Source organism: Homo sapiens, chromosome 11, assembly GCF_000001405.40.
Source record: "Homo sapiens chromosome 11, GRCh38.p14 Primary Assembly".
Classification (NCBI taxonomy): domain Eukaryota; kingdom Metazoa; phylum Chordata; class Mammalia; order Primates; family Hominidae; genus Homo; species Homo sapiens.
This window is the reverse complement of record NC_000011.10, coordinates 94568049-94581270: the sequence shown is the minus strand read 5'-3', so window position 1 is coordinate 94581270 and position 13222 is coordinate 94568049. Positions and strand designations below refer to the sequence as shown.

Genomic DNA, 13222 nt, shown 5'->3' with positions numbered 1-13222 from the left:
TATATTTAGCCTCACTAGGCCCCAAGGGTGATGACAGGATTAAATGAGATCATGCTATAAAGAGCCTGGCAGGCCGGGCGTGGTGGCTCACACCTGTAATCCCAGCACTTTGGGAGGCTGAGGCGGGTGGATCACCTGAGGTCAGAAGTTTGAGCCCAGCCTGCCCAATGTGGTGAAACCGCGTCTCTACTAAAAATACAAAAATTAGCCGGGTGTGGTGGCAGGTGCCTATAATCCCAGCTACTCAGGAGGCTGAGGCAGGAGAATTGCTTGAAACCCAGGAGGTGGAGGTTGCAGTGAATCAAGATCATGCCATTGCACTCCAGCCTGGGCGACAAGAGCAAAACTCCTTCTCCAAAAAAAAAAAAAAAAAAAAAAAAGCCTGGCAGAGTAAGTGATCAACACATGTAATCTGATAGGTGTAACTGGTAGTAGCAGTGGTGGTAGCAGCTACTTGTGGGACACAAAGTATAGATCTGCTCAAGAGAGAGATGTTGAGGATAACCTGGAGAACAAAGAAGGACAGTACTTAACACCTAGTAAGTGCTCAATAAATGCTAGCATAATAAAGATACTAATTATTATGACACTTATTTCATTCTACCTTACATAGTATTTATTTGTAAAGAACTTTTATTCGAAATTGAAATTTTGGAGAACAAGTACTCTGTTTTATTTATCTTTGTTTGCTCCATGGTCGCAACACCCTGCCAGGTTCAGAGTAGGCTCTTTATAAGTATATGAGAGTGGCAAATAGATGTGGACATGAATAGCAACACCAGTCTGGCTGCAGGTGCACAGATAGGACCTGGACAGTGGAAGGCTAGGAGGCAGCTGAACAGGAATCCTGGAACTCCTAGGAGTTCATTGCGTCAACTAGTGGCTGAGATGTTTCAACTTAAATAAGCATCCTAGGACATGTGTAGGGGATGATGAGGATGCAGAATTAAGCCTCAGTCAATACCAAGATCAGAATAAAAAGGTGAGAGTATCTTCATTAGGACACTTTCTTTTGCACTGTAACTGGGTGACAGGTCATATGTTTATAAGAAATAAGACAACACTATTCTGTTTAAACCTAGTATCCCCTATATCTGGGAAATAAAATAAACAGGCCTGATTTGTCACACCATGTTTTTATGGTCTATTTTCTCACTTGTCCCCTTATTAGGCTCCATTCCCAGCAACAGAAAGGTGTTTGACACATACTACATGCTCATTTTGAATGAGAAATGAGTAGCAGTAACATATTCTTAGCATTTGTAGCGTATACGGTCTTCATTCTGTTTAGGTACAATGGAAGTAAGCTGGACACTTCAAGGGTAGTATTTAATAATTTCAACGTATCTAAATTTCTAAACTAGTGCTAGAAATGTATCTACAAGAACATTTTTAATGGTAACAACAGACTTGAAATATATCATTTAAGTATGAGAAGCCATATTAGCGTGCTATCAACATCTGGTCATAGGACAAAGAATTGAAGGATCAATAAAAAATTATGGTGAATAAAAATGTTTCTTAATTTACAAATCTAGATTTTCTAAGCCATTAAATTTAATCATATGGTATAATTTTAATGTTCCATATCCAATGCAACAATCACTCAAGCAGCTCCTATAGATCCCAGGGTCTCATAAAAGGCAAAAGGCCCAAGAGTGCTAAGAAACACATTTCATGAGGAAATTCACAAACACTTACCTAGAGTCTAAAAATTTAAATCTAAGCTATTGGTACCATACTCTGCAAACAAACAGCTGAACCAAGGGACTAAGATTTCTAAGGGATAGAAGCATAAAATTTTAATCCAATGCTCTGTTTTAATTTTTCACACAGAAATTGGTTCTTTTTTTCTTGTAGTAATTGTAACATTGTTTTAGAACAAAACATATGTTAAAAACATCCATACCATCTTTATTTTAGGACTGAATATGTCAAATGTGTAAAAAGGTGGATAAAGGAATATGAAATACACAATAGCTATTTCCAATGGTTGCATTAAAAAAACTTTAAAAATTGATATAAATAACTCATAATTTCTTATGATCGAGCAAGTAGTTAAATAAACGGCAATTCTAGAATCAAAAATTGATGTAAAATTATTTGGACATACAGGCACAAGGGTGCAGGAGCAAAAAAAGGTAGAATTAATTTAAAGTTCTGAAGCCATAGGCCAAATGGTGTTTCTTAGTCTTGCCTACTTTGGGAATTATTTTTTAAGGTGCCAATTTCAAGGACACTTACAGCTCTTATTTTAAAAATACCAGACCACCAGCTTCATAATTAAGAAATCAATTACTAGTGAAATCTTAATTAGGAAGTCTTTTTTTAGCTCTCAGGCAAGGGAACAGGAAAAAGGAAAGGAGTGATTCACTCATTCCAACTGTCATGAAAATCAACTAATCTCTTAAATATATAAGTATATATGAGGAGACCTCAAAAAGTTCATGGAAAATATGTATTATGAAAAAACTATGCATGGATTTCAAAAATTTTGCACCCAAATAAACTCATACTAACAGGATCCAGTGTGAGACACTAAGAATAAGACCTCAATTTGAACAGAGACCCTGTCAGAGCAATATGAATTCTGCTATGATTGAAGCCAGAACAGACATCAAATTTTGGCGATACTTGGGTAGAAGAATGGCAAAATCATTGATGTATAATGAAAAGTTTATGGGAACAATGCCCCAAAGAAATCAGCAGTTTACGAATGGATAACTCATCTTAAGAAGGGATGAGACAATGTTGAAGATGAAGCCTGCTGCAGACCATCTATACAGATTTGCAAGGAAAAAAAATTCATCTTGTTCATGCCCTAATTGAGAAGACCAAAGATTAATAGCAGAAACAATAGCCAACACCACAGACATCTCAATTTGTTTAGCTTATACAATTCTGACTAAAAAATTAAAGTTGAGCAAACTTTCCATTCAACGCTTGCCAAATTCATTGCATTCAGATCGGCTGCAGATAAGAGCAGAGCCGTCAATAAAAATTTTAAATAAATGGTATTAAGATCCTGAAGCATTTCTTCAAAAAATTGTAAGAGGAGATGAAACCTGGCTTTACCAGTACGATCCTGAAGACAAAGCACAATCAGAGCAATCACTACCGAGAGGTGGAAGTGGTCCAGTCAAAGGAAAAGCCAACCCATCAAGAGCAAAGGTCATGGCAATAGTTTCTTGAGATGCTCCAGGCATTCTGCTTGTTGACTTTCTGGAGGGCCAAAGAATGGTAACATCCGCTTATTATGAAAGTGTTTTGAGAAACTTTGCCAAAGCTTGAGCAGAAAAATGGCCAGGAAAGCTTCCCTGGAAAGCACCACAACAATGCTTCTACTCATTCTTCTCAACAAACAAGGGTAAGTTTGCAAAAGTTTCAATGGGAAATCATTAGGCATACACTTTACTGCTGATTTGGCTCCTTCTGACTTTTTTTGTTTTATAATCTTAAAATATAAAACAATGTAAAGGGCACCCATTTTTCTTTCGTTAATAAGCTAAAAAAGACTGCACTGATGTGGTTAAATTCCCAGGACCCTTAGTTCTCTAGGGATGGACTAAATGGCTGATATAATTGCTTATAAAAGTGTCTTGACCTTGGTAAAACTCTTGGTAAGAAATAAAGGTAGTTTTTTAAATTCTTACCTTTTAATTCTATTTTTCCACAAACCTTTTGGAATCTCCTTGCATATGCATATATATGTGTGTGTGTATACACATATAATAAACACACACCCACATATACAGTAAAAAAACTAATCATACTATACCTTTTCTTCTAGCTTTTGTGACAGAAAAAGGATGGCACCGTCGAATGCTTTTGCTTTGTTGGAAAGTTCACTATGACTATAAAGTAAAGCAATTCTCAGCCTTCTAGATGCTAAATCTGGAATATATGTCACATGGTACTGGTATAGCTGCCAGTCTTGGGGAAAATCTAAGTTAAAGAGGTTTGTAACCAGTTTCACAGGTATTCCACTGGAACCTGAAGAAGACAAACAAAAAACAATTTTTTAATCAGGAAATCACATCATGTTAATATTAATCACACCATTTAAAAATGTATTTGCCTATGCATAGTAGTTGCTTTAAAGCAAGGATTTTTGCACAGTGACACAGGATAAATCCTAAAACTTGCAGCCTAATAACACCTTTGGGAGCTAAAATGGGATCATGCATGAAACAGGCCTCTTAAGAACATACGAGCAGACACTGACATTCCTGTCCTTGTGAGACGAGAAGCATCTGAACTCAACCATTCCAGGACACCTTTCAAAGCTTGCCTTCCCGCTCTCATTCTCTGCAATTCAAATCGGCTCAAGTAATATTTTCAGATGCTGCTCTGAAATTATACTGCTCTCATAAAGAAACAGTCTGGTTCTTACTATGAATATACAACCCCCAACCTCTGGGAAATCCAGATAATCAAAAGTTAATCATATTTCTGAAAATTCTGAAAAAGTTATATCAGTGGTTAGACCAAACAATCTCAGAGAAGACCCTCAGAGATTAAGGGGAAGGCTGCGGAGAGAGGAAGGAACTGTCATTTTTCCGACGTGAAAACAGACAAGGTTTCTGGGCTTCTGTTTTCTGCAGACACATGGAGGCCATGTGTGCTTCCGGGACTTCCAGCCCCTTACAGACATTTTTATTCACATCTTAAAAGTCTATAGGACAAAATCAGAGATGGCCACGATATAGTCAGTTAGTGATCAGGATGGTGTAAGCTCCCCCCAGGGTAGAATCCAGGAGGGTACAAAGGAGGTTCTTCTCACTTCCCCTTACAGAGAATCATCCAGTTTTGGTCTTATAGAAAAGAATGATATAGAGGCTGGGCACGGTGGCTCACACCTGTAATCTCAGCAGTTTGGGAGGCCAAGGCGGGTGGATTGCTTGAGGCCAGGAGTTCGAGACCAGCCTGGCCAACCTGGCAAGACCCTGTCTCTATAAAAAATAAAAAATTAACTGGGCATGGTGGCCCATGCCTGTAATTCCAGCTACTCAGGAGGCTAAGGCACAAGAATCGCTTGAACCTGGAAGGCAGAGGCTGCAGTGAACCAAGATCGCACCATTACACTCCAGCCTGGGCAACAGAGTGAGACGCTGTCTCCAAAAAAAGAAAAGAAAAGAATGATATAGAATAGATGCTATTTTGCTTTTCTCATGGAGGAAAGCAACCCAGAGACTCCAAGGTGGTGAGGAATACAAGGTATCAGCTGTGCTTCAGTATTTCCTCAGCTTCAACCTGGGGTATATATCTGGTAGGAGCAAGAAATCTCCGTGCTATTTTAGTTAAATAACAGATCTCTTTTGTTCTCCCAGATCCTGAGGAAATGGCAAAGCAACATATTTTAGCTGCTCATATAAATAAAGAGTAGTCAACCTAGACTGTCAGAGCCGGAAAGACCCTTCAAGATCGTCTACATATGATAGTTTTCAAACGGCAGCTGGGTCCCATTAGTGCTGCAGTTATGAAATCAGGTGAGGTGAATCGCATGTTTAATGAAAAGTCCAGAATAAAACAGAAAGGAAGAGACGCATTGTTTCATGAAACTTTTGCTTCAGTTGTGTGTGGACAGTGTGTGTATGCTGGATAATAATATATTTCTTATTTTGGTTTAAAAAGTTTGGAAAACACTGATCCGCATCAGTGAGTTTTAACTTTCGTGAGGTGGCCACAAAGACTTTTGAGAATCCAATGAAAACAATAGACCTACTTCCCAGAAGATATATATACTGACAATTTGCATGCAATTTTATGGGTGAGCCTGGAATCTGGGTAAAGAATCCCCCAAATAGGTTATGTCTTTCTTTTTACAGCTGAAGTCCAGAAAGATTTTTACTTCCCATGTTGGGAAAGAGAAGAAACATCTTTTTAACTCCCACCCCAGTATATGAAGAAAATCTTTTCCAAAAGTGAGATGTCATTTGGGGGAAGATATTATTTCTACTAATAAAAGAGAAAATTAAGGCTAGAAAATTAAAGCGTCTAACAGTGCCTTGAACATAGAAGACAATCAGTAAATATCTGTTAAGCAAACATATGAACTTATTTATTTTAGACCTAGAATTTGGAAGTCCTTAAGCAAGATTTGGTAACATTAAAAAAGTAAGTGACATAAAACTGGGTACCTGTTTTACAATTTCTCACATGTGCCAATTTTTCTCTGGTACAGATACTCAAATCCATAAAGTCCTGTTTGTTTTTCACACCTCTTTCCATGAAGGTACTTCCAGCATCACCAGAAGATATCCCATATTTATCTAAAACATGAAGAGAATGTGGTAACAGCTAATATTTCATTCTAGTGATACTGTTTGCAACTACTATGTCAAAAATGCATTGCAATCCAAACTTGTGGTTTTGAATACAGTTTGCCCATATTGCTGAAACCATTCATGACTATTACAGAAGTCTTCAGCCTAAAAACGGAAAATTGTGAAGAAAACACAGAACGTTTTGTTAAAAATAACAGATCTTGGCCAGATGTCGTGACTCATGCCTGTAGTCCCAGCACTTTAGGAGGTCATGGCGGGCGGATCGCTTGAGCTCAGGAGTTAGAGACCAGCCTGGGCAACGTGTTGAAACCCTGTCTCTACCAAAAACACAAAAAATCAGCTGGGCGTGGTGACATGTGCCTGGGCTGAGGTGGGAGGATCACTTAAACCCAGAAGGTGGGGGTAGCAGTGAGCCATGGTCACGCCCGCACTCCAGCCTGGGCGACAGGGCGAGACCCTGTCTCACAAAAACAAAAACAGATCTTGAGTTAGTTCTTGCCCTTGTAATATTGTAGACTTTCACTTCTTGGCTAAGGAGAAAGCCCTCCCTCCCCATTCCCTTCTCCATACCTATTTAGGGAGGGCAGCTCTCCTGCCGTTAGCTCTTGTGTAACACCCTGAAGGATTACAGACTAACTTCTGTCCTCAGCAACTTCTGCCCAGAAAGAAGATGAATCTGACATTTCCCAAAGAAAAGAAGAGAAATTGCCCAGAACATTGCCATCAGTTTTTATTCTAGGTCATTCCCCCTAAGAATAAAAGCCAGTGTTTCACCTCAGGGCATATCACTTACTGACAGCTTCTAGAAAACATGAAATTAAAATCTGTTTCCAAATGAGTATTTTCTGTTTAAATTAGTACGGGGGATGCTGACTTTCTGGCATGTTGAAAATAACTTTATAAAAATACAAAATGTTACTGCAAAGTAATATGAATTTCTAGAATTCTATTACCCTCACTAAATTGTCCATATAAGCCATTGCTCGTGGTTTCAAAAGATGTTAGGTGGTTTCTGAAAATTCAAGCTACCATAGTATGGCAGTTACCAGGAGCTGGAGGGAGGGGGGAATGGGAGTTATTAATTAATGAGTACAGAGTTTCCATTTTGCACAGTGAAAAAAGATCTAAAGTTGGATGGTGGTGATGACTGCACAACAAAATAAATGAAGTTCATCTCCCAAGACTGCACATTTAAAAGTAATTTAAATGGTAAATTTTATGTTATATATATTTTAAGATAAATAAATAAAACTCCAATTTTCCCTCCAAGGATGAAGGATTTTCATCATTCACTGTTCATAACAATGTGCGCATATCAAAAAGCTTATCCACCACGATCAAGTTGGCTTCATTCCTGGGATGCAAGGCTGGTTCAACACACGCAAATCAATAAACGTAATCCATCACATAAACAGAACCAAAGGCAAAAACCACATGATTATCTCAATAGATGCAGAAAAGGCCTTCAACAGAATTCAACAGCCCTTCATGCTAAAAACTCTCAATAAATTAGGTATTGATGGGACATATCTCAAAATAATAAGAGCTATCTATGACAAACCCACAGCCAATATCATACTGAAGGGGCAAAAACTGGAAGCATTCCCTTTGAAAACTGGCATAAGACAGGGATGCCCTCTCTCACCACTCCTATTCAACATAGTGTTGGAAGTTCTGGCCAGGGCAATCAGGCAGGAGAAAGAAATAAAGGGTATTCAATTAGGAAAAGAGGAAGTCAAATTGTCTCCGTTTGCAGATGACATGACTGTATATCTAGAACACCCCATCGTCTCAGCCCAAAATGTCCTTAAGCTGATAAGCAACTTCAGCAAAGTCTCAGGCCACAAAATCAATGTGCAAAAATCACAAGCATTCCTACACACCAATAACAGACAAACAGAGAGCCAAATCATGAGTGAACTCCCATTCACAATTCCTTCAAAGGGAATAAAATACCTAGGAATCCAACTTACAGGGATGTGAATGACCTCTTCAAGGAGAACTACAAACCACTGCTCAACGAAATAAAAGAGGATACAAACAGATGGAAGAACATTCCACGCTCATGGATAGGAAGAATCAATATCGTGAAAACGGCCATACTGCCCAAAGTAATTTATAGATTCAATGCCATCCCCATCAAGCTACCAATGACTTTCTTCACAGAATTGGAAAAAACTACTTTATAGTTCATATGGAACCAAAAAAGAACGCACATTGCCAAGACAATCCTAAGCCAAAAGAACAAAGCTGGCAGCATCACGCTACCTGGCTTCAAATTATACTACAAGGCTACAGTAACCAAAACAGCATGGTACTGGTACCAAAACAGAGATATAGATCAATGGAATAGAACAGAGTCCTCAGAAATAACACCACACATCTACAACCATCTGATCTTTGACAAACCTGACATTAACAAGAAATGGGGAAAGGATTCCCTATTTAATAAGTGGTGCTGGGAAAACTGGCTAGCCATATGTAGAAAGCTGAAACTGGATCCCTTCCCTACGCCTCACACAAAAATTAATTCAAGATGGATTAAAGACTTAAATCTTAGACCTAAAACCATAAAAACCCTAGAAGAAAACCCAGGCAATACCATTCAGGACATAGGCATGGGCAAGGACTTCATGTCTAAAACACCAAAAGCAATGGCAACAAAAGCCAAAATTGACAAATGGGATCTAATGAAACTAAAGAGCTTCTGCACAGCAAAAGAAACTACCATCAGAGTGAACAGGCAACCTACAGAATGGGAGAAAATTTTTGCAATCTACCCATCTGACAAAGGGCTACTATCCAGAATCTACAAAGAACTTAAACAAATTTACAAGAAAAAATCAAACAACCCCATCAAAAAGTGGGCCAAGGATATGAACAGAGACTTCTCAAAAGAAGACATTTATGCAGCCAACAGGCACATGAAAAAATGCTCATCATCACTGGCCATCAGAGAAATGCAAATCAAAACCACAATGAGATGCCATCTCACACCAGTTAGAATGGCGATCATTAAAAAGTCAGGAAACCACAGGTGCTGGAGAGGATGTGGGGAAATATAGGAACACTTTTACACTGTTGGTGGGACTGTACACTAGTTCAACCATTTTGGAAGACAGTGTGGCAATTCCTCAAGGATCTAGAACTAGAAATACCATTTGACCCAGCCATCCCATTACTGGATATATACCCAAAAGATTATAAGTCATGCTACTATAAAGACACATGCACACGTATGTTTATTGTGGCACTATTCACAATAGCAAAGACTTGGAACCAACCCAAATGTCCAACAATGATAGACTGGATTAAGAAAATGTGGCACATATACACCATAGAATACTATGCTGCCATAAAAAAGGATGAGTTCATGTCCTTTGTAGAGACATGGATGAAGCTAGAAACCGTCATTCTGAGCAAACTATCCCAAGGACAGAAAACCAAACACCCCATGTTCTCTCTTATAGGTGGGAATTAAACAATGAGAACACTTGGATGCAGGGTGGGGAACATCACACACCAGGGCCTGTCGTGGGGTGGGTGAAGGGGGCAGGGATAGTATTAGGAGATATACCTAATGTAAATGACGAGTTAATGGGTGCAGCACACCAACATGGCACATGTATACATATGTAACAAACCTGCACGTTGTGCACATGTACCCTTGAACTTAAAGTATAATAAAAAATAAATAAGAATAAAAAATTTTTAAATAAAAAAACCTAATAACAAAAAAAAATGTGTGGCAGATGTGAAAAAACATTTGCAAGGATAGAATAATGTTTGAAAATAATGGAGGGCACTGGGCCTGTCAGAGTAGGGCTTCTGTGCTCAGAGGCTGCACATTCATTTGTGTGTTTGGATCACAGGGGTACATACACAGGACTGGAAAACTCCCAGTGAGGAACAGCAGAGTCAGACATGAGATGGGTGGGGGGACCAGACCCTCAGAGTCTGGGAGAACCTAATGCTTAGAGCTTCCACATTTATTAGAAATCAATTGCTTGTGAAAATAAAAAACACCGGGGTCAGAACAAAAGAGATGACTAAATTGTTTTTTTTGTTTGTTTGTTTTTGTTTTTGTTTTTGAGATGAAATTTCCCTCTTGTTGCCCAAGCTGGAGTGCAAGGGCGCAATCTCGGTTTACTGCAACCGCCACTTCCCGGGTTCAAGCGATTCTTCTGCCTCAGCCTCCCAAGCAGCTGGGATTACAGGTGTGCACCGCCATGCCTGGCTAATTTTTTGTATTTTTAGTAGGAACGGGGTTTCACCATGTTAGCCAGGCTGGTCTCGAACTCCTGACCTCAGGTGATCCGCCCACCTTGGCCTCTCAAAGTGCTGGGATTACAGGCATGAGCCATCACGCCCGGCCTGGCTAACTGGTTTTATTCAGGGTCACAGGCTACACTGTGTTCCCCCAAAATTCATATGCTGATGTCTTAACCCCCAGTGCCTCAGAATGTGATCATATTTGGTGACAGGGTCTTTAAATAGGTGATTAAGTTAAAGTGAGGTCATTATGGTGGTTCCTAATCCAGTATGACTGTTGTCATAAGAAGAGGAATCAGGACATAGAAATGCAAAGGAAAGATCATGTGAACACAAGGAGAAGACGGCCTTGGATAAACCAAGGAGAGGGTCCTCAGAAGAAACCAGCCCTGTCCCCACCTTATCTCAGACTTTAAGCATCCAGATTTGTGAGAAAATAAATTTCTGCTGATTAAGCCTCCTACTTAGTACTACTTTGTCAGGGCAGCCCTAGCAGACTAACACATGGGGCATGCCAACTCACAGTGTGTGATTGTGGTGACTTGGAGTAGCATGTTGACAAGTATCCTGAGACCAAATCTGGCTTTGCTGTGAGGAGAGCTACCATTGAATGGTGATGTTTACCACAGGAGGGGAAGAAAGAGAGCAGTTGGCTACATGCACTGGTAGATACCAGGTTTCTACCATCCTTCCAAGCAATGGCATTGGCATTTATATGCCGTTCAGATTTTTTTTTTCTGCTTTTTTAAAAATGCGTATACATTTAAGGCATAAGAGCATAGTTTTGTTACATGGATATATTGCATAGTGTGAAGTCTGGGCTTTTAGTGTAACCATCATCTGAATAATGTACATTGCAGCCATTAAGCAATTTCTCACTCCCCTCCCACCCTCCCAACCTTCCGAGTCTCCAATGTCTATTATTCCACACTCTATGTCCATGTGTACACATTATTTAGCTTCCACTTATAAGTAAGAACATGCAGGATTTGACTTTCTGTTTCTGAGTTATTTCAGTTAAGATAATGGCCGCCGCCCGGGGGCGGTGGCTCATACCTGTAATCCCAGCACTTTGGGAAGCCAAGGTGGGCAGATCACCTGAGGTCAGGAGTTCAAGACTAGCCTGACCAACATGGAGAAACCCTGTCTCTACTAAAAATACAAAATTAGCTGGGCGTGGTGGCACATGCCTGTAATCCCAGCTACTTGGGAGGTTGAGGCAGGAGAATCACTTGAACCTGGGAGGTGGAGGTTGCGGTGAGCTGAGATTGCGCCATTGCACTCCAGCCTGGACAACAAGAGCAAAACTCCATCTCAAAAACAAACAAACAAACAAAAAAAAAAAACAAAAGATAATGGCCTCCAATTCCATCCATGTTGCTACAAGACATGCTTTCATTCTTTTTATGGCTGAGTAGTATTCTCTTATATATGTTACCACATTTTCTTTATCTAATTATCCATCGATGGATGCTTAAGTTGATTTTATATCTTTGCTATTGTGAATAGTGCTGCAATAAACGTACAAGTGCAGATAAATTTTTGATATAATGATTTATTTTCCTTTGGGTAGATACCCAGCAGTGGGGTTGCTGGATCAAATGGTATTCGTATATAACACCATAAAGATTTTTAAAGCATTTTTTCAAAATCCTTCAGTGAATAGAAAGAGACAGAAACTGGCTTCCTAATATCTATGGAGTCCCGTCTACCAAACACTGTCAGGAAATTCAGCACGTGCTTCTATGTTAAAGAGTCCCAAAGGAACATGACAAAGGGGATCCTTCAAGGAAAGGAAATCAGGATGTGCAAGAGGTGGGCCTACTGCTGTAAGGCCTGGCAGGGCTCCTCTTGCTCCATTCAGGTTGAATGGTACTAAATGAACAGGCTGAGCTGCACTTACCGTTGGTTGAGATCCTGCTTGTTCCCAAGAAGCCATTGCTAGAGGATGCTTCATTGTTACTAAGATCAACAGATCTAGGCTAAAATGGCAAAAAAAAGTTTTGTTCAGATTTACAATGGTAAGTCACAAACCAAAAGATTATCCTAAGAACAGTGTCAGGTCTTTAGATTACCATGAACTAGGCAAAGAAAATGTTAACAGGTAAAACCCTTGAGAGATGAGAAGAGAGTGCCCATTCTAGAAAAGAGGATAAGGACACGCTATAGTTTTCCTCACTCATCAAACTTTGATTTTAGTACCAACTGTCGCCAGATATAGCTGGAGGTGTAAAGAAGCAGAGATGAGATCCTTGTGCCCAGGGAGCTCACCAGAGGGCATGCGGCACAGATGCACATGGACCTCATGCTTCCATAGCCCACGGACATAAAATGAACAGAGGCCCCGGGTCAGCAGCTCAGATCATGACTCTGCATGAATAAACAGGGCCAAAACAGGTTCACAAAATAGGCCAAGGGAACCATTAGCATTTTCTCTTTTCATAGTAACTACTTCTCTTTGTTCAAGAAGTTACTCCATCTTGGCCTGCTAAAAAATGAACAAAGTCCAGAGAAGACCACTTCATGAGAATAAAGGCATAAGGACCACAAACTATTCATTTGGATACTTGCTCCAAATGCTAAGAATATGTAGTTGTATTAATAACATCACCCCAAAGTTGCTTATTGGCAGGTCAATCTAGTTGCCTAAATCCAGCAAGGAG

General features: G+C 39.7%; 1 protein-coding gene and 1 long non-coding RNA gene across 4 annotated transcripts in view; one reads left to right on the top strand and one right to left on the bottom strand.

The window, feature by feature from the left end:
- PIWIL4-AS1 (PIWIL4 antisense RNA 1) overlaps nucleotides 1–13222 on the top strand; it is a 195024-nt gene that overhangs the window by 159085 nt on the left and 22717 nt on the right. Inside the window, exons 6-7 of one of the 3 annotated variants that reach the window (NR_135096.1) lie at nucleotides 5331–5489; nucleotides 6185–7499. The exons of the other annotated variants lie outside the window; for them this stretch is intronic. This is a non-coding gene — a long non-coding RNA (PIWIL4 antisense RNA 1). Of the gene's footprint in view, nucleotides 1–5330; nucleotides 5490–6184; nucleotides 7500–13222 lie in introns of those variants that run through there. 3 annotated transcript variants of the gene reach the window in all.
- The window catches only part of PIWIL4 (piwi like RNA-mediated gene silencing 4), a 54054-nt gene that overhangs the window by 40151 nt on the left and 681 nt on the right, over nucleotides 1–13222 (bottom strand). The window contains exons 2-4 of the mRNA NM_152431.3: nucleotides 12463–12541; nucleotides 6141–6272; nucleotides 3779–3993 (exon numbers count right to left, since the gene is read on the bottom strand). Of these exons, the coding sequence (NP_689644.2) occupies nucleotides 3779–3993; nucleotides 6141–6272; nucleotides 12463–12541 (426 nt within the window). The remainder of the gene's footprint in view (nucleotides 1–3778; nucleotides 3994–6140; nucleotides 6273–12462; nucleotides 12542–13222) is intronic.